A 22,826-nucleotide genomic window follows, 5' to 3' on the forward strand; every position below is an offset into this window, starting at 1 on the left:
GGAACTCAGGAAGTTCTTGCCTTAGTGGTGAGAATAATTAGCCTTAGACTGTTCAGCCTAAGGCTAATTATTTCCACTACACTGGGTCTTGGTTTTATGATTTGTCTACTGCTCCGAACCCATCTAACAAATCATAAAACCAAGACCCAAAAAGGTCAAACTGCTTCCAACTAACTTAACTGCTTCCCAATATATTTATAGGCAAACAAAAATATCTACCACTCAGCAAAGTAAAATTCACAATATCCTCATTCAGTCAAATATTACCAGGCACTCAGAGAGGCAGAGCAAAATGACCCATAATGAACAGAACAACCAACAGAGCACAGGCCTTGGAATCCTGCAGCCTGGGTCTGAATCCTATTCACTCATCAGTCTGAGGCCTTCAGCAAGTTATTTAACCACCAAAAGCCTCAATTTCATGTGTGTGTGAAAAAGAGGGAGAGGGAGAAAGAGAGATTCAATAAGTCTCAAATTATAAAAGACCCTTTTTTTCTATTTTATTATTATTATACTTTAAGTTTTAGGGTACATGTGCACAATGTGCAGATTAGTTACATATGTATACATGTGCCATACTGGTGTGCTGCACCCATTAACTCGTCAGTTAGCATTAGGTATATCTCCTAATGCTATCCCTCCACCCTCCCCCCACCCCACAACAGTCCCCAGAGTGTGATGTTCCCCTTCTTGTGTAAAAGACCCCATTTTTTAAGACCCAAATTATTTCCAGGGATGAAAACTACAACATCTGAGATGAAAATTACATTGAATGGAATTAACAGCACACTAGGCATCACAGAAGAAAAAAGTAGTGCACTTGAAGGCATAGCAATAGGAACTATCCAAGGTGAGACATAGAGGGGAAAAAAAGTAATAAAACAAATGAAAAAGCTGGGCGTGGTGGCTCACGCCTGTAATCCCAGCACTTTGGGAGGCCAAGGTGGATGGATCACTTGAGGTCAGGAGTTCCAGACGAGCCTGGCCAAAATAGTGAAACACCATCTCTACCAAAAATATAAAAAAATTAGCCAGGTGTGGTGGCGTGTGCCTGTAATACCAGCAACTCGGGAGGCTGAGGAAGGAGAATGCTTGAACCTGGGTGGTGGAGGTTGCACTGCACTTCAGCCTGGGTGATAGAGTGAGATGCCTTCTCCAAAAAAAAAAAAGAAAGAAAGAAAGAAAAGAGTATTAGTGAGGTGCAGGACAACTTCAAGCCACCTAATATATGTGTAATTAGATTCCCTGAAGGAGAAAACGAGGGAAAACAGAAAAAAAAATTTTGATGAGATATGGCCAACAATTTTCCAATTTTGAAGAACCTGTCAAGTTATTTGTTCAAACAAGACATTTCTTTTCCTATGAGGAATTCTGGTGCCCATGGTTGATATCATAACTCTTTTTTTATTACATCAAGGAAGGCCTAAACTATCCTTAGGAAGAAATAGACTACATTTCCTTTCAACCGACCCTCCGTAAGAATCATTCTTTTTAACTAAACCATATGTATAGGTTGGAAAATATACAGGTCAAGGGTATGGTGTCTAGTAAGGTCCTGAGCTACATGTTCACTGTATTGCTTATAAAGGGTGAGGCCAGTTTTGTTTTGTTCTGTTTTGTTTTGTTTTGTTTTTGGCAGAGTCTCGCTCTGTTATCCAGGCTGGAGTGCAATGGTGTGATCTCGGCTCACTGCAACCTCGACCTCCCAGGTTTAAGCAATTCTTCTGTCTCAGCCTCCCAAGTAGCTGGGATTACAGCTGCCCGCCACCATGCCTGGCTAATTTTTGTATTTTTGGTAGAGGTGGGGTTTCACCATGTTGACCAGGCTGGTGTCGAACTCCTGACCTCAGGTGATCTGCCCACCTCAGCCTCTCAAAGTGCTGGGATTACAGACATGAGCCACCGTGCCCAGCCTCAACTTTTATTTTAGATTCAGGAAGTAGATGTACAGGTTTGTTAAATGAGTATATTGAATGATGCTGAGGTTTGGGATACAAATGATCCCATTACCCGGGTAGTGAGCATTACTATTACCAATAGTTAGTTCTTCAACCCTTGCTCCTCTCCCTCTCTCCCCGATCTAGTGGTCCCCAGTGTCTATTTTTCCCTGTCCATATGTACCCAGTGTTAAGCTTTCACTTGTAACGGAAAACATGTGGTATTTGGTTTTCTGTTCTGGTGTTAATCTACGTAGGATAATGACCTCTAGCTTCATCAATTTTGCTGCAAAGGAGAAGATTTTGTTCTTTCTTATGGCTGTGTAGTATTTCATGGTGTATATGTACCACATTTTCTTCATCCACTCCACTGTTGATGGGCACCTAGGTTGATTCTAAGTCTTTGCTGTTGTGAATAGTGCTGCAATGAACATATGAGTGCATGTGACTTTTTGGTAGAACTGCTTATTTTCTTTTGGGTATATACCCAGTAATAAGATTGTGCAGTCAAATGGTAGTTGTGTTTTGAGTTCCTTGAAAAATCTCCAAACTGCTTTCCACAGTGACTGAACTTTACATTTTACATTTACATTTTAATTTACATTTCGACCAACAGTGTGTAAACGTTCCCTTTCCTCTGCAGCCTTGCCAACATCTGTTATTTTCTGACTTCTTAATAGTAGCTTTCCTTGCTGGCATGAGATGGTATCTCACTGTGGTTTTGATTTGCATTTTTCCAATGATTAGTGATGTTGAGAGCATTTTTTCGTGTTTGTTGGCCACTTGTATGTCTTCTTTTGAGAAGTGTCTGTTCATGTCCTTTGCCCACTTTTTAATGGGGTTATTTGGTCTTTGCTTGTCAGATTGCCCAAGTTCCTTATAGATTCTAGATATTAGACCCTTGTTGGATGCATAGTTTGTGAATATTTTCTCCCATTCTATAGGTTGTCTGTTTGTTCTGTTGATAGTTTCTTTTGCTGTGCAGAAGCCCTTTAGTTTAATCAGGTCCCTTTTGTCAGTTTTTATTTTTGTCGTAACTGCTTTTGGAAACTTAGTCATAAATTCTTTGCCAAGGCCAATGTCCAGAATGGTATTTTCTAGCTTTTCTTCTAGGATTTTTACAGTTTTAGGTCTTACATTTAAGTCTTTAATTTATCTTGAGTTAACTTTTGTATATGGTGAAAGTTAGGGGTCCAGTTTCAATCTTCTGCATAGGGTTAGCCAGCTATCCCAGCACCATTTTTTGAATAGGGACTCCTTTCCCCATTTCTTATTATTGTAGCCTTTGTCAAAGATCCAATGGTTGTAGGTGTGCAGCTTTATTTCTGGGTTCTCTATTCTGTTCCATTGGTCTAATGTGTCTCCTTGTATCAGTACCATGCTGTTTTGGTTACTGTAGCCTTGTAGTATAGTTTGAAGTTGGGTAATGTGATGCCTGTGGTAAAGCCACATATTTTAGAACTAAACATAGAAAATGAAAAAGCTGGGGATGAGGGAGTATTTCCTCAATAGAAATGGAGAAGCCTGACCCTTTTTCTCTCCTGGTCAATGCCTATACTGAGGTGGGCCAATCTTCAGGCACAGCCACAGTTTTTCTCAGAAATAGGTCTAGGATATCTCTACTATATGAATAATTAAAGGTGATTTCTCTGTGGCTAATATATTCCAAACAGATATATTATCTTGGGGCTCCCACTAGAACATCTGGCTTTAGAAAAATCACTCTTGGTGATCTTGCCAGAATAAATTTCTTGCTTGATTAATTAATATATTCTAATTACTGGCCAAAATAATTGGGACATCAGATGGGCACATGAACCCTTACCTAGGATTTTACAGAGGGAAATAATGTATCTACCAACTCTGCATTCATTAAGATGCAGGTCTTAGGCTGGGCGTGGTGGCTCATGCCTGTAATCCTCAGCACTTTGGGAGACTGAGGCAGGAGAATTGCTTGAGCCCAGGAATTTGAGACCAGCCTGAGCAACACAGTGAGACCCTGTTTCTTTTTTTAAAAAATAAAAATATAAAATGCAGGTCTTATATAAGTCTCGGTAGCCAAGAATCTATGGTAAACTGATATGCCTCTTCACAAAATCCAAATTTAAGAAAAGGTCAATACAACTTTTGCCCCACATATGTTGCTACAGGTGAAAATTCTCAGATGTTTCTCCAACAGGCTGTCAGCTATGTGAATTTTTTAAAAATCCACCACCACCACTTTTTTTTTTTTTTTTTTTTTTGAGACGGAGTCTCGCTCTGTCGCCCAGGCCGGACTGCGGACTGCAGTGGCGCAATCTCGGCTCACTGCAAGCTCCGCTTCCCGGGTTCACGCCATTCTCCTGCCTCAGCCTCCCGAGTAGCTGGGACTACAGGCGCCCGCCACTGCGCCCGGCTAATTTTTTGTATTTTCAGTAGAGACGGGGTTTCACCTTGTTAGCCAGGATGGTCTCGATCTCCTGACCTCATGATCCACCCGCCTCGGCCTCCCAAAGTGCTGGGATTACAGGCGTGAGCCACCGCGCCCGGCCCACTTTTTTTTTTGCGTGGTAGATTTTAGTTTTTTAGACTACATTATTATTGCCCATCATTTTGCAGTTAAAGAAACTGTAATTAGAGCTCCTAATAGTTAAGTAATCACCCAGTTCACAGAGCTGTATATGCCAAAGCCACAGTGAGAACTCAGTTCTTTCTGGCACCAAAACCCATGTCCTTTCCATTATTCTTTATTGCTTAAAATTACTTGTTCTATAAAACAATTATACAGAAATAAACAAATTTTAAAAGGCATCTCCAGAACTATGCTATAACTTTTAGAGCAGGCTATGTGGAGCTTCTTTATGTTAGCAGTTAGATAACCATATCAACTGATTCCTGAAGACGCCCCTCATCCAATCCACCCATTGCCATCAGCCTACGTAAGTACTCACACTTCCAACACCTGTGGCAGGGAGGCACACATCCACATTATCCAAAAGCAGTTTCAGACCACAAAGGTGTTTGAGAGAATGAGGCTCTTCAAAACGGAGTCCTGTTTTGTGTCACTCACAGTAGTATTTGGCCTAGGGGGAGCCATTTCTCCCAGCCTCCACTCTTACCATTAAGATGCAAGTGTTGCATGTGGATCCGTAACCATGTAGTCAAAGGCTCATGAAGAGTCAATATAATTGTGATCTTCTATTAGTCCTGATCCCAGAAAGCAGCATGGGGCTCTAGGGCAAGATATGCATTCAAGACAATCCTTTACATCCCCTTTTCCTCCCTGCTTCGCTGTCCCTCTGGAGTCATGCCAATTGGGCCAAGTTTACTGATGGGCAGGATCAACATATATTCAGAGGTCGTAACTATGGCCCTTCTATTCCATTGCTTCCTTCCATATGACTGGAGCAGTAGGGAGTCAGTGTAGACAACATCGTCTCCCCGCATTTACACACAGGCATGCTCATTATGACAGTTTCCTGCTCCTGTGGACCAAAGCGTGGTGAGACCCAGGATTTGGTGTTGGGCTAAGGAGGAGAAAAACATGCCCTAAGGCTCTTTAGCCTTGGTCATTGCTCCAGTCAAGTTTACAAGACAGGCCTGTGGGGACTTGGGATATAAGTCCTATGATATGTTATTTTTTCTTTGACATTTATCTCCTGTTTCTTTATGTGTCTCTCCCTTAGAGATTTTGTGTAGTTGATGACAGGATTCCAGTAGTCCTGGGTCTGGCCAAAATACTATCTTAATTCTATAAAAACCCCTTTTAAAAAAATTACAAATTGATTTTACAAATAAAACTATGCTTATTCGTATATAAAATGTTGACATGGGAAACTTGGGTTTTCAGTTCGTAAAGAAGAAAATTGGCATAAAATTTACTTAGAATGATGAGGAAGAAAGAGGAGAAGGTGGAGAGGAAAAAAGTCTAAAAACAAAGTAAGGTCAAGGGGTAAATTAGGAGGTTGGGGAAGAAGATGGAAGAAGAGAAACTGAGAAGCAAAAGGAGGAGGAGGAAGAGAAAAAACAAGGAGAAACAAGAGGAGAAGTAGAAGGGGAAAAGGAGAAGAAAAAGGAGGAGGAAGAAGAAGAAAAAAGTTGGGGGAGAAGAAGGAGGAGGGGAAGGAGGACAGGAGGAGGAGGAGGGGAAAAATAAGAGGAAGAGGAGGAGGAGGAGAAATTCGTGGCTATGTTGTTTCGGGTAAAAATAGTCATTTCACTTTTTGAAAATAGAATCAAGATACAGGAGAATAGTCTGTCATCAATGTCAGACAAATAGAATGTCTGCACTGAGTCACTCAAATAAAGGACATGGCAATCACACGCTTGAAGTATAGCATAAATAAATAAAACCGAATGCAAAAGAGGGACAAAGATTCTGACCTACAATAAAATGTTACTCAAGAGGCCAGGGCAGTGGCTTACACCTATAATCCCAGCACTTTGGGAGGCCGAGGCAGGCGGATTACTTGAGGTCAGGAATTCAAGACCAGCCTGGCCAACGAAACGCCGTCTCTACAAAAATACAAAAAGTAGCTAGGCATGGTGGCACACGCATGTAGCCCCAGCTACTCAGGAGACTGAGGTGGGAGGTTAGCTTAATACTCAAGACCAAGATATAGTTTAGTTAAAGTGTTGTTCCAGTTAAGCTGTTGTTTCTCAGTTTCAAACCCACTCTCTCTATTTGGCTTTGTGATGTTACAATGAGGACTCTGCAAAAGTTTCTTCTTGCCAGCTGGGGGAAGTTCTGCCAATAGGAGGCAATAGAGAGAGGCTACAAGGCTGGAGGATGAAGAGGGGACTTACCCCCTGTCTGCTTCTTATTGTCATATCACTGTCAGCATCACCCAGTGTTTCTTTTTCACCCCAGCAGTTTCTTCTAGCATCAGTTGGGTCTAGTTTGCAGTTTTTCCAAATTCATGGAACCAGTCTCGTTACACCCTACCCTCTGCCCCAGAAACACCAGCACCAGACTGCCAAAGCCCCCTTTCCCAGAGGTCTGAGGTCCTCCCCCAGGCTCTATGTTTTGATACTTCCAAGTTCTTCCCTTTGTTTCCGCAGTCTTAATGCTAGCATCTGCCTCCTGCATTGCTACCTCCACATCACCAAGTGTTCTTTATCTGTCTTTTCAGTTACCTAGTTAACAGCTCTCTAGAATAAATTCTCTCTGGTAAAATGATTGTTGTGGCTTATGTTTCCTAACTAGAGCCTGGTTATCCATGCAGAAATATGAAAATATCTTGGGGAATGGGCAGGGGGATATAACTTTTTTTTTTTTGAGACAATGTCTCACTCTGTCGCCCAGGCTGGAGTGCAGTGGCGTGATCTCGGCTCACTGCAAACTCTGTCTCCCAGGTTCAAGTGATTCTTCCACCTCAGCCTCCCGAGTAGCTGGGATTACAGGCATGCATCACCACACCCAGCTAATTTTTGTATTTTTAGTAGAGATGGGGTTTCGCCATGTTGGCCAGGCTGGTTTTGAACCCCTGACCTCAAGTGATCCACCCGCCTCAGCCACCTAAAGTGTTGGGATTACAGGTGTGAGCCATCGCACCCAACTTGCAACATAATTTATGTTGGGCTCAGGCTTCTTCACAGAAACGTAATGCTGGGAGACAATAGAGCACAATCTACAAGGTTCTAAGAGAAAGAAAGTGAAAACCAAAAATATTTTAACAACCCAAGATGTTCAAATATAAAGATAAAAGACAGACATTTTCAAATATAAAAGAACTTAAAGAATAGAATATCTGCATGTTCTTTCTTGGGCCCAGCCGCCATTGGTGGTGGAGTGGCACTATGGTGGTCCTGAGCAGCGTGAAGCGGGGTCCATGGAGAAGGGCTGCTTAGCACGAGATGCCTGATCCCAAGCTGGGGGAGGAGGGTATCCATAAAGATGGGAAGCCTGGTGTGGGGAGTCAGGGCTGAGCAGGAAGAGGAAGGCATAGGGAATGAGGTAGTCTAACCTGGAGCATCAGAGCCAAAGCAGGATGAGGAGGGTTCTAGGTGGAGGATAGCCTGGTATGTGGAGTCAAAGCCTGAATGGGATTAGGAGGGCATCCATGGCAGTGTTAGGGGTTATGGCCCACCAAGTGGAGTCAGAGCCCAACAGGGCAAAAAGAAAGGCCATGATGGTGCAGCCCAGCATGAAGTATCAGAGCCCAAGTAGAAGAAGACAGACATTAGTGCTAGAGAGGACATGGCAGCAGAGATTGGATATTGATTGATACTGATCAATCAATATCAATATCGATGTTGATTACATACAAAGGATTAATTAAGTAGTATGTTAAGACTAATGGACGCCAGACTTCACACTGTTGGAAAAAAGAGTTACAAATACAAAAAGAGAGACACCTAGAATAAATTTCGTGGTGTTAGATTGGAATTGAAGTTATTGGTGTGAACTACAGTTTAATACACATATAAATAGATATAGAAACGGACATAGACCTGTATGGATGTATGTAGCTTTGTCCACTAGGAGGGCTTGAGGCAGCAATGTCCCAATATCAACAGACACATCTACCACTAAGATCTTGGCTTCTGAATGCCATTTTCCACTCAAAGGAACCAGGGTCCCTTGGAGAAATGGCTGATTTCAGTACCAGCAGGGAAAGTAAAAGATGAATTTGAATCATCTTTCTGTGCCACAGCAACAATAAGGAAGGTCCTAAAATACAATAGGAGCATGTCAAATGACATATAAGCTAGCTTCTATTGGACAAAGCAATGGCTGTTAAGTTTTCAAGGGAAGGCGAGAGTATCAAAATTTGATTTGATATTTGAGTATCAAAATAAGTGATGGCGGGAACAACCCACTGAATAAAATAGAAACCATGAGTCCAAAAGACATTAATTAATTAATTAATTAAAAGTTTACTGCACAATGGCATACTTAGTTTCAAATTCCTCTCCACAAAGTACTTATTAATTACAAAGAGAAAAAAATAATAACTTTACAGATGGGAAGCTTGGCAAACACCACCTTAATCAAGTGACCAGAGTGAGCTTCATCAGTAATGAGACAAACAGAAATGGCATACCACCTGAGGGGAGGCGAGGAGAAGAAACCAGCATCGGCCAGGCATGGTGGCCCATGCCAGTAATCCTAGTGCTTTGGGAGGCTGAGACAGGAGGATCTCTTGAGGCCAGGAGTCCGAGACCAGCCTGGGCAAATGGCGACACCCCGTCTCTAACAAAAAAATACAAAAAAAAAAATTAGCTGGGTGTGGTGGTGCGTGCCTGTGGTCCCAGCTACGTGGGAGGATGGTTTGAGCCCAGGAGACAGAGATTACAGTGAGCCAAGATCACACCACTGTACTCCAGCCTGAGTATAAAGATCATTCAAGAGAAGATTGAGAAAATGCTCCAGACTGAAGCAGAATAAAAAGACATGACAACTAAATGCAACTTGTGATTCTGAATTGTATCCTTTTGCTGTAAAAGCCACTATCGGGGCAACTGACAAAACTTGAGTAATGTGAGAATTAGATGGGAGTAGTGTATTGTTATTAATTTTCTGATTTTGATCACTGTGTCATGGTTATGTAGGGAAATGTCTGTAGGAAATACATTCTAGAGTAATACGAATAATTATATATGAAAAAGCAAAGTTTAAGTGGATATAGTAAAATTCTTTTAAAAGACTATATATTTCATGATATGCATTTTAATGTATATATACACCTTATTCTTCTGGACAGATGCAGAAGAAAAGTAATGTGATGATCTGGGAGAGGAACTGGGTGGTGGTAGGAAAGAGCTTTTGTTTTTCATTTTATATCTTCCTGCATAGTTTATTTTTTTTTGCCAGGTACATGTATTACTCTAATAAAAACAAATACAGGAGGCTGGGCATTGTGGCTCACACCTGTAATCCCAGCCTTTGAGAGGCCGAGATGTGGGGATCACTTGCGGTCAGGAGTTTGAGACCAGCCTGGTCAACATGGTGAAACCCCGTCTCTACCAAAAAATACAAAAATTATCCAGGCGTGGTGGCAGGCGCCTATAGTCCCACCTACTCAGGAGGCTGAGGCACGAGAATCACTTGAACTCAGGAGGTGGAGGTTGCAGTGAGCCGATACCATGCCACTGCACTTCAGCCTGGGCAACAGAATGAGACTCTGTCTCAAAACAAAAAACAACAACAAAAAAAGGAGTTTTCTGGAGAGTGAGATTATGTGTCATTTCTGTTTTTCTTATTTTTTTACATTCAAAAAACTAATACATAATAATGTTAGACATTTGCATGCACACGCATGGAAATTTTTATTTTTCTCTCTACAGTTAAGGCAAAAAGTGAATAAGGATCAGCTCTCATCAATTAAGTCAGGCTTTGAACAATTTTGGTAGCAGAAAGTCTTTACCTGGTGTTTTATTTAATTCAGGCTTTTTAATTTAAAGATCTGTATGAGGGATTGTTCTTGATTAGCGATTAACAAGGATTCTAGAACACATAGACAGACTTCAAAACAGTTTTGTCAGGACCATGTAGCTGAGAAAAGCCTCTTGTTTATTAATTTAGGTCTACGTTTCGATGACTTTTTTCTCACCCAAACCTTACCCTGTGGAATACTTTTTAAAATCTACCCTTCTGTTTTGGTCAAAGTCCTTTGACAAGCATCAGACTTAGAGGCTTTCAACACAGTTTAAATAGAATTTAAATTCGATAAATTCCTGTGTATTTTTTTTCCTATTTCTTTACAAACTGCCTTCTCTGTATAGTCAAGGGGTTTTTTCTGTTTTGTTGTTGTTGTTGTTGCTTTGGCTTCCAGAAAATGTCCCTGTAAAATCAAGAAAGTTTAGGGCAAGGCCTGCACTTACTCAAACATGGAAGGGTGAACGCAGATTTTGGGTTTCAGTGATCTCCTGATACCGAAAGAAAAGTGCCTCCCTCCCTCGGGGGCACTTCAAGATGACAGTTTCAAAAGGCACTTCAGGTGAAAGTGTAAATGAAATTTCAAAAGACCATCAGTCAGTAAGAAATCATTCATAGAATTCTACAATCCTTTGGCAATATAGAACAAAAGTTAAGTGTTTGGGTGCTTGTGCCAAACAGATGTGAACTTGAATCTCAGTTTTACCAGTTACTTACAATGTGTCCATGAGCAAGATACTTAATTTCTCCGAAACCCAGTTCATTTGTCTATGAAATGGAAATAATAAAAGTACCCTAACGCCTGGAATTACCATAGATTTATTTAAAATAGGCCAGGCGCAGTGTCTCACTCCTGTAATCCCTACACTTTGGGAGGCCGAGGCGGGCAGATGACCTGAGGTCAGGAGTTCAAGACCAGCCTGACCAACATGGTGAAACCCCATCTCTCCTAAAAATACAAAAATTAGCCCAGGCATGATGACAAGCACCTGTAATCCCAGCTATTCAGGAGGCTGGGGTAGGAGAATCGCTTGAAACCAGTAGATGGATGGAGGTTGCAGTGATCTGAGATCGTGCCATTCATTGCACTCCAGGCTGGGCAATAACAGTGAGACTCCATCTCACACACACACAAAAAAAGAAATAAAATAAAATAATACATGTCTACTACAAATAAAGCACTTAATAAATATTAGTTGTTGATTACTTTTTTAAAAAATTGTCACTGTCTCAATTTATATTCCAAAAACTCACCATTCCAATTATGGGTTACAATAGGCTTAGGGGGCTCAGCCCAGTGGCTCATGCCTGTAATCCCAGCACTTTGGGAGGCCGAGGCAGGCAGATAGCTTGAGCTCAGGAGTTCAAGACCAGCCTGGGCAACATGGCAAGACCCCCATCTCTACAAAAAATACAAAAATTAGCTGGGCGTGGTGGTTCACATCTGTAGTCCCAGCTACTTGGAGAATCGCCTGGGAGGCAGAGGTTGCAGTGAGCTAAGATTGTGCCACTGCACTCCAGCATGGGTGACAGAGCGAGATCCTGTCTCAAAACAAACAAACAGGCTCAGTGTCCACAATGTGAAGGGTGAAAGTAGGAGGGAAATGGCTGCTTTCTATATGCACCAAGCTATTCACCCAAAGAATGACAAGGGGGACGAGGAGCCAACCACCTTATTATAACACCAGCCCAGGATGGAACTCTCAGGGAAGCTCCCCTTGGAATATGTGTCCATTAGACTTGCCAGTTAGTAAGTCCAAATTGCGGTTATGAATATAAGTGGTGAGGAGTTTCCTTCTGAATTTTTTTTTTTTTTTGACAGAGTTTCACTCTGTCGCCCAGGCTGGAGTGCAGTGGCACAATCTCAGCTCACTGCAACCTCCAACTCCTGGGTTCAAGCGATTCTGGTGCCTCCGCCTCCTGAGTAGCTGGGACCGTAGGCATCCGCCATTGTGCCCAGCTAATTTTTGTATTTTTAGTAGAGACGGAGTTTCACCATGTTGACCAGGCTGTTTTTGAACTCCTGACCACAAGTGATCCACCCGCCTCAGCCTCCCAAAGTGCCCGTCTGAAATTTAAACAACTTTTCCACCAGTTCCACATTAGCTCTAAGTAGAGCCCCAGGACTTTCTCCCTGCCCACCTCTCATGCCAGCCCTTGAATTCTGTGCCCCAAAGAGCATTAATTTCCATACTCAACAAGGATTTATGGAGTTCTTACTGTGTGCCAGGCCCTGTACTAGACACTGGGCATAGAGTGGTCAAGGCACATAGGAGCGCTGCCTTCATGGAGCTCATGTTCTATGAGGAGGTATGTTCAACAGATCAGCACCCTAATAATCGGTTGCTCAAAAACGTATGTTCTATGAAAAAGTACAGGGGGTCCAGGTGCCATCAGAACAGAAGGACCTGCGTGGGTGGGGCATGCCTGCCCCTGCCAGTCTCTAGGGGCCTGGCCAGGCTCTCCCCAGCCAGTCTGCCCTCCTCAGGTGTGGAGGAGTCTCTGGGCCCCAGGAGGATTCCCTCCTGGAGACTCACACAGTGCTCCCTGCTCACGTGTTGTCACAGCCCAGAAATGACTGAAACAAAGCATTCTCCTGGACCTCAGCATGGGGGATCCTCCAGGCAGGTGCTAAGTGTGCAGCCGTGGGGTGGTCAGTGCTTTATGCCAGCACTTCTGGAACTTCTGGATGGATATAGGGACTATCATTAGTATCCTAATATGTGGTGTTTGTTTGTTTGTTTGTTTGACAGAGTCGAGTCTCGCTCTATCGCCCAGGCTGGAGTGCAGTGGCACAGTCTCGGCTCACTACAACCTTCGCCTCCTGGGTTCCAGCGATTCTTCTGTCTCAGCCTCCCAAGTTGCTGGGATTACAGGCACCTGCCACCATGCCTGGCTAATTTTTGTATTTTAGTAGAGATGGGGTTTCACCATGTTGGCCTGGCTGGTCTCAAACTCCTGACCTCAAGTGATCCACCCGCCTCGGCCTCCCAAAGTGCTGGGATTACAGGCATGAGCCACCATGCCTGGCCAATACGTGGTGATTTTTAAAAAACCATAAAATTGATTCACAGTCCACTGACCCTTACAGATCTAGATATACCCTTACCAGAGAGAGAACTCTGATGAGGAAATGCTGGTAAATTACCATTTTTCTAATTGCTGGTGAGTCTGACACTTGGTGAGTTTTCAGCCAGTTTGTTAAACTTTTAATTAAGTTTTGTTTATAATAAAAATATAAATGGATTTGAAAGTTTCCATTTTTTTAAGTTACCTTTGTTTTACAAAGGTATTTTCTAAACACATCTTTAATGGACTATTTAACTGAATTTAAGGAATTCACACATGACAGCTGACAGGTCTTCATGCAGGCTGATTGGTAACGTGCTGCCAGCACAGGGCTGGGTGATGCATACACCCTAAGCTGGGGGTGCCTGGGGAGAAGGGCGCTCCTTGGAGTGCCCCTCCAGCTGCAGGGCAGTGAGGTGCCACTTGTGTGAGCCATCAGGGAGGCAGCTGGCCATGGGGGCAGAGGGTAGCAGGAGCATCATGGGGCCTTTCCATCTGGGCTGGTTCTCTGCGATGGTGGTGTCATGCTTGCCTCTGCTCCTTTTTTTCTTTTTTTTCTTTTTGCAATTGCAAGATTTAATAGAGTGAAAACAGAGCTCCCATACAAAGGGAGGGGACCCAAAGAAGGTAGCCATTGCTGGCTCGAATGCTTGGGTTTATATCTCGATCATTGTCTCTTCTGCTGTGCTCTCAGGCAATAGATGATTGGCTATTTCTTTACCTCCTGTTTTTGCCTAATTAGCATTTTAGTGAGCTCTCCTTACTGGTTGGGTGTGAGCTAAGTTGCAAGCCCCATGTTTAAAGGTGGATGTGGTCACCTTCCCAGGTAGGCTTAGGGATTCTTAGTTGGCTTAGGAAATCCAGCTAGTCCTGTCTCTCAGTCCCCCCTCTCAACAGGAAAACCCAAGTGCTGTTGGGGAGGTTGGCCAGCGACCACTCTAACTGCTTCCTGCTGAACTGGGGTGTAGTAGCGGTTGTGCAGTTGAGATTTTCTCAGGAGGATGCCTTCGATGTCATTAACATCAGAGCATAGGCTAGCAGGCCGGTCCAGGGGTCCATGGACTGCATCTGGGGCTCCATTTGAAGAACCATTTGTAGCTTTACAGCTTTGATTCTGGAAGAGACAAACTTAACAAGGAGGTTAAGATACAGGGTCCAAAGAGGAGTAACAATATTATAGCTGCTAGAGGTCCTAAGAAGGGGAGAATCCAGGGCATCCATTGGCTGAGGGGGCCCCAGGGTCCGGTGTTTTGAAGCTCCCCTGCTCTACGTTGTATGCGATCTCGAATTTTTTTAAATTTCTTCTCAGTGACGATTCTGGATTGATTAACATAATAACAGCATCTTTCCCCTAAAGATAAACAAGTTCCCCCTCTTTCGGCGGTTAGCAAGTTTAAAGCTCTTCGATTTTGAAGGACTACTGCTGCTAAGGAGTTAAGTTGATCTTGCAAGGTGACCAGGGAGTCGGCGACCTGTTCCATGTCACCATTTAGTTCTTGAGATAGTTTGTGGTAGAACTGAGTAGAGGTTGTAATACCGCCAATGCCAGTACCTAGTCCGCCTAGTACTCCTGCTCCAATAACAAAAGGAAGAATGGGTACTCTTTCATTGTTGCCTCTGCTCCTTTCATCTAGAAAGAAGCTGCTGACCCTGACAGCACACCTAGGGCACACCGAGTGGCTGCATTGGTGCTGTCACTTTTTTAAAGCTTTCTGTCCAGACTTCAACTCTGGTTTCTTTTCAGAGTTGTGGAGGACTGATGACTTCCTCAAACCCTTGCTGTGGGGCTGAGGGTGATGGTCATGTCCATTTCTTATGTATTAAAAGCCCTCAGTGATTCAATTAGATTGTCCCACTGCTCAGACCTGTAGGGCAGCTTCTAGCATGCTTTTTTCAAGGGGAGAGGAGCAGTGAAAAGTCGTGTGTCAGAAATGGATTTGAGAATGTTCTGAATGACCCCTGGAGGCCGAGGGGGCAGGCTTCGGGCGTGAACTGAACTCCAGACCCCTCTTTGTGTTGGGCAGTGTCGTCCTGCTTATAAACTATAAGACACATTTTCTTTTGTGTTTGTTTTCATTTTTGTTCTTTTGCAGCACTCACACCTTTGACAGTCTTTGGGAAAGAATAACACCCACGTAAAGAATTTGTCACATCCAGTGTAGCGCTGTTCTTTAATACTGGCATAACAATTCCAGGAAGTTTTTCTTTTTTATATTTAAAATGTTACTTTTCTATATGATGTGCAAGCAAGTTTGCCATAACTTTTCTTAAACTTTTTAGTGCCATTTCTAGTATATTCCTGTAAATGTCAGCTACTGCAAATGAGTCCAATTTAAGTAGTATTAGCTTGTTTATTGCAATGTTGGCCTCAACACAACAGAATAAAAATGGTAGAAAACACTCTTTGATGTTTCTGGTAATCATGGACCCTTCTCCTGGGGCATTTGTTTTGTTTTCATAACAGAAAGCAAAAAAACAAAAAAAAAAACAGGGGACCTGAACTACTCTGAGAGGTTAGGAAAGCCTTTCCTGAATCTGACATTTAAGCAAGACCTGAAAGATGATAGGAATCAGAAAAGAAAACAATAATAACATTTTAGGCAAAGCAAACAACATGTGCAAAGGGCTCAAAACAGGGTAGAGCATGATACTTAGACAATAAAAATGTGAAAGATTCATGTGTGGCTGGATTACATGCAAGGATGGAAGGTGTGAAGTGAGGAGAGGGGGTGGAGCAGAGAGTGGGGCACAGAGAGAAAGGGGCATGAGAAGAAGCAGGAGAGATAAACAGGGTCTTATCATCCATTTTAGGGATTTGGGGCTTTATAATAAGAAAAATGGAAGACCACTCAAGTATTGAAGCAGTATAACGTCATGACCAAATGTGCCCTTTCTAAAACAACTCTGGCTGCCATGTGTAGAATAAATTAGAGCAGAGCAAAAATGAAGGGAGAAAGACCAACTGGGAGGCAAGAGAAGGTGGTGACTTAACCTTGAGGAATTACTGTCTCTGCCATGGAATACATGGAATAAGTACCAAATACCCAGTTATCTCAACAGGTAGCTTTGGTGGGAGACGTATAACATTAAGGCTTATATTCAGTTAATTAGGAAACTGGATCAGACCAACACAGATTTTTATTTCCCTGGCCCAGGAGTTCTGTAATGGCCTCTTTAGGGCTGTACAAGAATAGAGGAGCTAGTGGCCTGGCACGGTGGCTCACTCCTGTAATCCCAGCACTTTGGAAGGCTGAGGTGGGTAGATCATTTGAGCCCAGGAGTTCAAGACCAGCCTGGGAAACATGGCAAAACTCCATCTCTACAAAAAATACAAAAATTAGCCGGGTGTGGTGGTGCACACATGTGGCCCCAGCTACTTGGGAAGCTGAGGCGGGAGGATTACTTGAGCCCAGGAGGTCAAGGATGCAGTGAGCCATGACCACACCACTGCACTCCAGCCTGGGTGACAGAGCGAGACCCTGTCTCAAAATAATAATAATAATAATGGCAGAAAACTTATCAAATTTATTGAGAAACAATAACCTGGCCAGGCGCAGTGGCTCACATCTGTAATCCCAGCAATTTGGGAGGCCGAGGCGGGACTCGAGAAAAGGAGTTTGAGACCAGCCTGGCCAACATGGTGAAGCCCCGTCTCTACTAAAAATACAAAAATTAGCCGGGTGTGGTGGCACAGGCCTGTAGTCCCAGCTACTAGTGAGGCTGAGGTGGTAGGATCGCTTGAACCAGGGAGATGGAGGTTGCAGTGAGCTGAGATTGCACCACTGTACTCTAGCCTGGGTAACAAAGCAAGACCTTATCTCAAAAAAAAAAAAAAAAAAAAAATCAGCCGGGCATGATGGTGCACACCTGTAATCCCACTTACTTGGAAAGCTGAGGCACGAGAATCGCTTAAACCCAGGAGGCAGAGGTTGCAGTGAGCCGAGATCATGCCACTGCACTGCAGCCTGGGCAACAGGGCAAGACTCTGTCTTAGAAAAAAATAAGTAAATAACCTCCACATCCAGAAGCTAAATGATCTCCAAGTAAGAAAAACTAAAAGAGATTTGCAAACAGACACTTAATAGTAAAAAATGCTGAAAGTAAAAGACAAGGAGAATACCTTGAAGGCAGCAAGAGAAAAACAATGCATTGGGAACTTGTAAGAGGACCTTCATAAGATTAGCACTTGGCTTTTCAGCAAAAACATATAGGTCACAGAGAGTGATGCGCAAAGAAAAAGAACTGTCAACCAAAAGTCCTACGTTTAGCAAAGCTATCTTTCAAAAATGAAAGCAAACTAAAGACTTTCCCAGATAAACAAATGCTGATGGAATTTGTTGCTAGCAGACTCACCTTACAAGAAATACCAAAGGACATCCATCAGGCTAAAAGCAAATGATCTCATGCTAATTTGAATACGTACACACACAAAAAAAAGGTGACTAGTAACAATTTTTTTAATGTATAAGTGCATATTTCTGTCCTCATAACTGATTTAAAAAGCAATCATACAAAATTATATATATGTAAAATACATAATGTAAGGTTAGGCCTATAACATATACAAATGTAATATTTTTGTTAATAATAGCACTAAGGGGTGGATGGGAGCAAAGCAGTATAAGCAAAGGACATGACTGTAGTTGATAAACTAATAATTATAACAATATATTGCTGAGTTTGTAACATTAATAGATGTGACATATGTATAACAAAAATATATTGCATAATATAATAATATATAATGTATACCATATATAACAATAATACACAAAAGAGGAGAAGAGACTAGAGCTACATAGGAGTAATATTTCTATACATCACTGGTATTAAGCTATCTGAAGTGACCTCTGGTAAGCTAAGATGTACATGGTAAATCCTAGAGTAACCACTTAAAAATAGTGAAAAAATAATTAAAACATTAAGCATCAAAATACATGAAGCAAAAACTGGCAGAAATGAAGGGAGAAATAGAAAACTCAACAATAATAAGTGAAAGCTTCAAAATTCCACTTTTAATATTGGATAGAATAACTCAATAGAAGATCAAGGAAATAGAAGATTTGAACAACACTACGGACCAACTACACCTAACAGACATCTGTAAAACACTCCACTCAACAACAAAATATGCATTCAAGTGTACATAAAACATCCCCTGGATAGACCATATGCCAAGCCGTAAAACAAACCTCAATAAAATTTAAAGAATAAAAATAATACAAAGTATATTCTCTGACCACAATGAAATAAAATTAGAAATCAATAGCAAAATAAATGGGAATAATTCTACAAATATGTGGAAATTAAACAACACACTCCTAAATACGACCTATAACCAATGGATCAAGGAATAAATCAAAAGGGAAATTTAAAAAACTTGGAGATGAATGAAAATAAAGACCCGGTACACCAAAACTTGTGGGATGCAATGATCAGAGAAAAATTTATATTTGTAAATGCCTACTTTAGGAATGAAGGAAGATCTCACATCAATGGCCTAATCTTCCAGTTAATCTTCTAAGACGCTAGAGAAAGAAACACAGGCCGGGCACAGTGGATCATGCCTGTAACCCCAGCACTTTGGGAGGCCGAAGTCGGTGGATCACTTGAGGTTGGGAGTTCAAGACCAGCCTGGCCAACATGGTGAAACCCTGTCCCTACTAAAAATACAAAAATTAGCTGGGCATGGTGGCAGATGCCTGTAATCCTAGCTACTCGGGAGGCTGAAGCAGGAGAATAGCTTGAACCTGGGAGGTGGAGGTTGCAGTGAGCCAAGATTGCACCACTGCTCTCCAGCCTGGGCAACAGAGTGAGACTCTGTCACAAATGAAAAAAAAAAAAAAGAGAGAGAGAGAAAGAAAGACAAACTCAACTACAGCAAGCAGAAGAAAGGAAATAAAGCTTAGAGTGGAAACTAATAAAATAGAAAATAAACAATAGAGAACACTAACAAACAAAAAATTGGCATAAGATCAACAAAACTGACAAACCTTTAGCTAAGTTAACCAAGAAAAAAAAAGACTCAAATTACTAGAATCAGAAATGAAAGAGGGGACATTGTTGTCAACGTTACAGAAACAAACATAATAAGAAATACAATGAACAGTTGTACACCAACAAAATAGATAACTTAGATGAAATAGACAGATTCCTAGAAATACACAAACCACCAAAACTGACTCAAGAAGAAACAGATGATCTGAATAAGTATAACAAATAAAGAGGCTGAACTAGCAATAAAAAATAATACCCACAAGAAAAACCCAAGCCTAATTAGCTTTCCCACTGATTCTGCCAAACATTTAAAGAAGAATTAATATCAGTTATTCACAAACTCTTCCAAAAAATAGAAGAGGCTAAACACTTCCCAACTCATTTTATAAGGCAAATATTACCCTGATGTCAAAACCAGACAAGGACATCACAAGAAAAGAAAACCAGAGAAAAAATATCTCTTATGAATATGGACGCAAAAATCCTCAACAATTAGGAATGATTGTATGTGGAAAAAGAATAAAGAATCCTCAACAAAATACTAGCAAACCAATTCCAGCAGTATCTAAAAATAAGTATACATCATAACCAAGCTGGATTTCTCCCTCGAGAGCAAGATTAGTTCAGCATCTGAAAATCAATTCTTGTAACACATCGTACCAGTAGAATTTTTTAAATCACATGATGATCTCAATAGATGCAAAAAAAGCATTTGACAAAATCAAACACTCTTTCATGATAAAAACACTCAACAAACTAGGAACAGAAGAGAACTTCCTCAACCTGACAAAGAGCCTTTATGAGAAACCCACAGCAATCATGCTAAATGGTAAAAGGCAGATGTTTTCTTCCTAGGATCAGTAACACGACGAAGATGTCTGGTCTCACCACTTCTGTTCAACATTGTACTGGAGGTTCTAGCCAGGGAAATAGTCAAGAAAAAGCAATAGAAGGTATCCAGATTGGAAAGGAAGAAATGAAAATATCTCTGTTCACAGATAACACAGTCTTACATATGGAAAATCCTCCTCCTTGAAGTCTGGGTATTTGGTAAAACATTTTTTTTTTTTTAAAGAAAATCTTAAGGAATCCACAGACAAATGTATAAACAGAATGTGGTATATCCATATAACAGAATATTCGGTCATATAAAGAAATGAAGTATTGATACATGCCACTTGAATGAACCTCAAAAACATTATGCTAAGTGAAAAAAGCCAGTCACAGAAGTCCACATATTATATGATTCTATTTATACAAAATATCCAGAAAATCTATAGAGGAAAATCTATAGAGAAAGAAAGTAGAGGCTGGGCGCAGTGACTCACACCTGTAATTCCAGCACTTTGGGAGGCTGAGGCGGGCCGAACACGAGGTCAGGATTTCAAGACCACCCTGGCTAACACAGTGACACCCTGTCTCTACTAAAAATACAAAAAATTAACTGGGCGTGGTGGTGGGCGCCTGTAGTCCCAGCTACTCGGGAGGCTGAGGCAGGAGAATCGCTTGAACCCGGGAGGTGGAGTGAGCCAAGATCGCACCACTGCATTCCAGCCTGGGCGACAGAGAGAAACTCCATCTCAAAAAAAAAAAAGGAAAAGAAAAAGAAAGTAGGTTATGGGGGGGCCAGGGGAAGTGGGGAGAAAAGGAGGGGGTTATCTTAGCTAAAGGGTATGGGTTTTTTTTTTAGGCGATGAAAATGTTCTAAAATTGACTGTAATGGTGGCTGCAGATATGCATGAATATATTAAAAACATTAAATTATATACTTCTAATGGGAGAATTGTATGTTATGTGAATTATATCTAAACAAAGCTGTTAAAAAAGCGATAAAATGCCAACCTATATTTATCTCTGTCTAAATTATCCCCTGGAGAGAAGGAGTTCCTAAATCCTTAAACTTGAAGAAGTGCATTGAAATGCATTTTCTATAATCCAGGTTTCCTGCAGATATGTAACACTCAAAACCCATGCAAAAAGCAGAGGTATCAAGATCCTTACACTTAGGTAAGAATCTACCCTAATTGTACTTATCTATCCATCTACTCATATTCCAGAAACCAAATCTTAGTCACTGAGAAGTCTGGCAGAATTGAAAAAAAAAAAAAAAAAATGCAGCCGTGAGTACGTGCCAAGCAGCATGAAGGTAATGGTGGCATTATGCACCTTACTATTTACCAAGCCATTTGGATGAACTGACCTAAAGCCAGGAGATCTTGCAAATGGTCATCCCACCGCCCATCTAAATCATGATTTCTCTCCAGATGCCCCTCCAACTCCCATTTAAAGTTCCTTCTAGGATGGGTGCGGTGATTCATGCCTGTAATCCCAGCATTTTGGGAGGCTGAGGGTGGGCAGATCACTTGAGGTCAGTGAAACCCTGTCTTTACTAAAAATACAAAAATTAGCCAGGCGTGGTGGCGGGCACCTGTAATTCCAGCTACTCCGGAGGCTGAGGCAGGAGAGTTGCTTGAACCCATGAGGCAGAGGTTGCAGTGAGCCGAGACTGCACCACTGTACTTTAGCCTGGGCAAGAGTGAGACTCCATCTCCAAAAAAAAAAAAAAAAAGTTCATTCTACTAAAAAAAAAACAAAACAAACAAACAAACAAAAAACCTCCTAGTTTGATCACTTAGAAGAAACCTCCAGCAGGTGATTGGACATCTCTAGCTTTTAGATTATACTGACAAGGAACTTTAAAACAAAACAAAACAAAAAATGAAGAAGCAAGCAGCACAACCCCCTGGAAGATTAGCAACACATCAAACAAAATCAGAAGGAAGTTCTAAAACTCAAAACCTAAGTACAACAGACCCTAGTGGGAGGCCCTAGGCTTTACTATTAGGATCAATGGTGGAGGCAGATGTGGAGATGATATTGCCCAAGGTCCAGGTTTGGCAAGAAAAATGGAACATTTTCATCTCCATTGGCTTCTAGGCCCCCTCACCCTCAATACATCAGGTTTTATGGAGCCTACACTTTTCTCCAGCTGGAATCAAGAATTCCTCCTTTGTTGCTCATCTGTTGCTCATCAATTCCACGTTTTAAAGATCAGTTCAAGTTGCAGAAGAATAGATATCACATAATTCTAGTTATGGTATACACACATGCACACACACACACACACACACACACACACACTAGAGAGAGAGAAAGGCTGTCACCAAGTTGCGGTTCTCCCTATGATTAAGGCAAGTCAGGGCAGGTGTAAAGCAGGTGATGATAGGGTTTATGAAGAACCAGGGGAGTGGGGTAGGGAGTAGAAGTAAAAAGAGCCTTTCAAGTTTTGCCTTAGTATTAGCTTGAACCATATAAAATTGTCATTTTTAAAGGTCAAAAACAGGTATCATCAATTTCACATGATTTTCATCTTTTGCAATAGAAATATTTGTGTGATGAATAATATTGCTGAAGAAAACAAACCAATCACATAACAATAAAAAATCAAGTATCTCCTGTTTGAA

At 41.6% G+C, this 22,826-nt stretch overlaps 1 protein-coding gene across 5 annotated transcripts in view, besides 1 other annotated feature; it reads right to left on the reverse strand.

The window, feature by feature from the left end:
- Positions 1–22,826, reverse strand: part of SMIM35 (small integral membrane protein 35) — an 83,330-nt gene that overhangs the window by 19,225 nt on the left and 41,279 nt on the right. For 3 of the 5 annotated variants that reach the window (NM_001394164.1, XM_024448283.2, NM_001354434.2), the window contains one exon: positions 8,963–9,111. The exons of the other annotated variants lie outside the window; for them this stretch is intronic. In NM_001394164.1, the coding sequence (NP_001381093.1) occupies positions 8,963–9,017 (55 nt within the window). In that variant the 5' untranslated portion in view covers positions 9,018–9,111. The remainder of the gene's footprint in view (positions 1–8,962; positions 9,112–22,826) is intronic. 5 annotated transcript variants of the gene reach the window in all.
- Positions 10,648–10,727: an enhancer, noted in NCBI's record as "active region_5582". NCBI's record gives its function as "activates an Ori minimal core promoter by ATAC-STARR-seq in GM12878 lymphoblastoid cells {active_cell/tissue: GM12878}" and the evidence as "EXISTENCE:reporter gene assay evidence [ECO:0000049][PMID:35858748]".

Source organism: Homo sapiens, chromosome 11, assembly GCF_000001405.40.
Source record: "Homo sapiens chromosome 11, GRCh38.p14 Primary Assembly".
In the NCBI taxonomy this organism is placed as follows: Eukaryota; Metazoa; Chordata; class Mammalia; order Primates; family Hominidae; genus Homo; species Homo sapiens.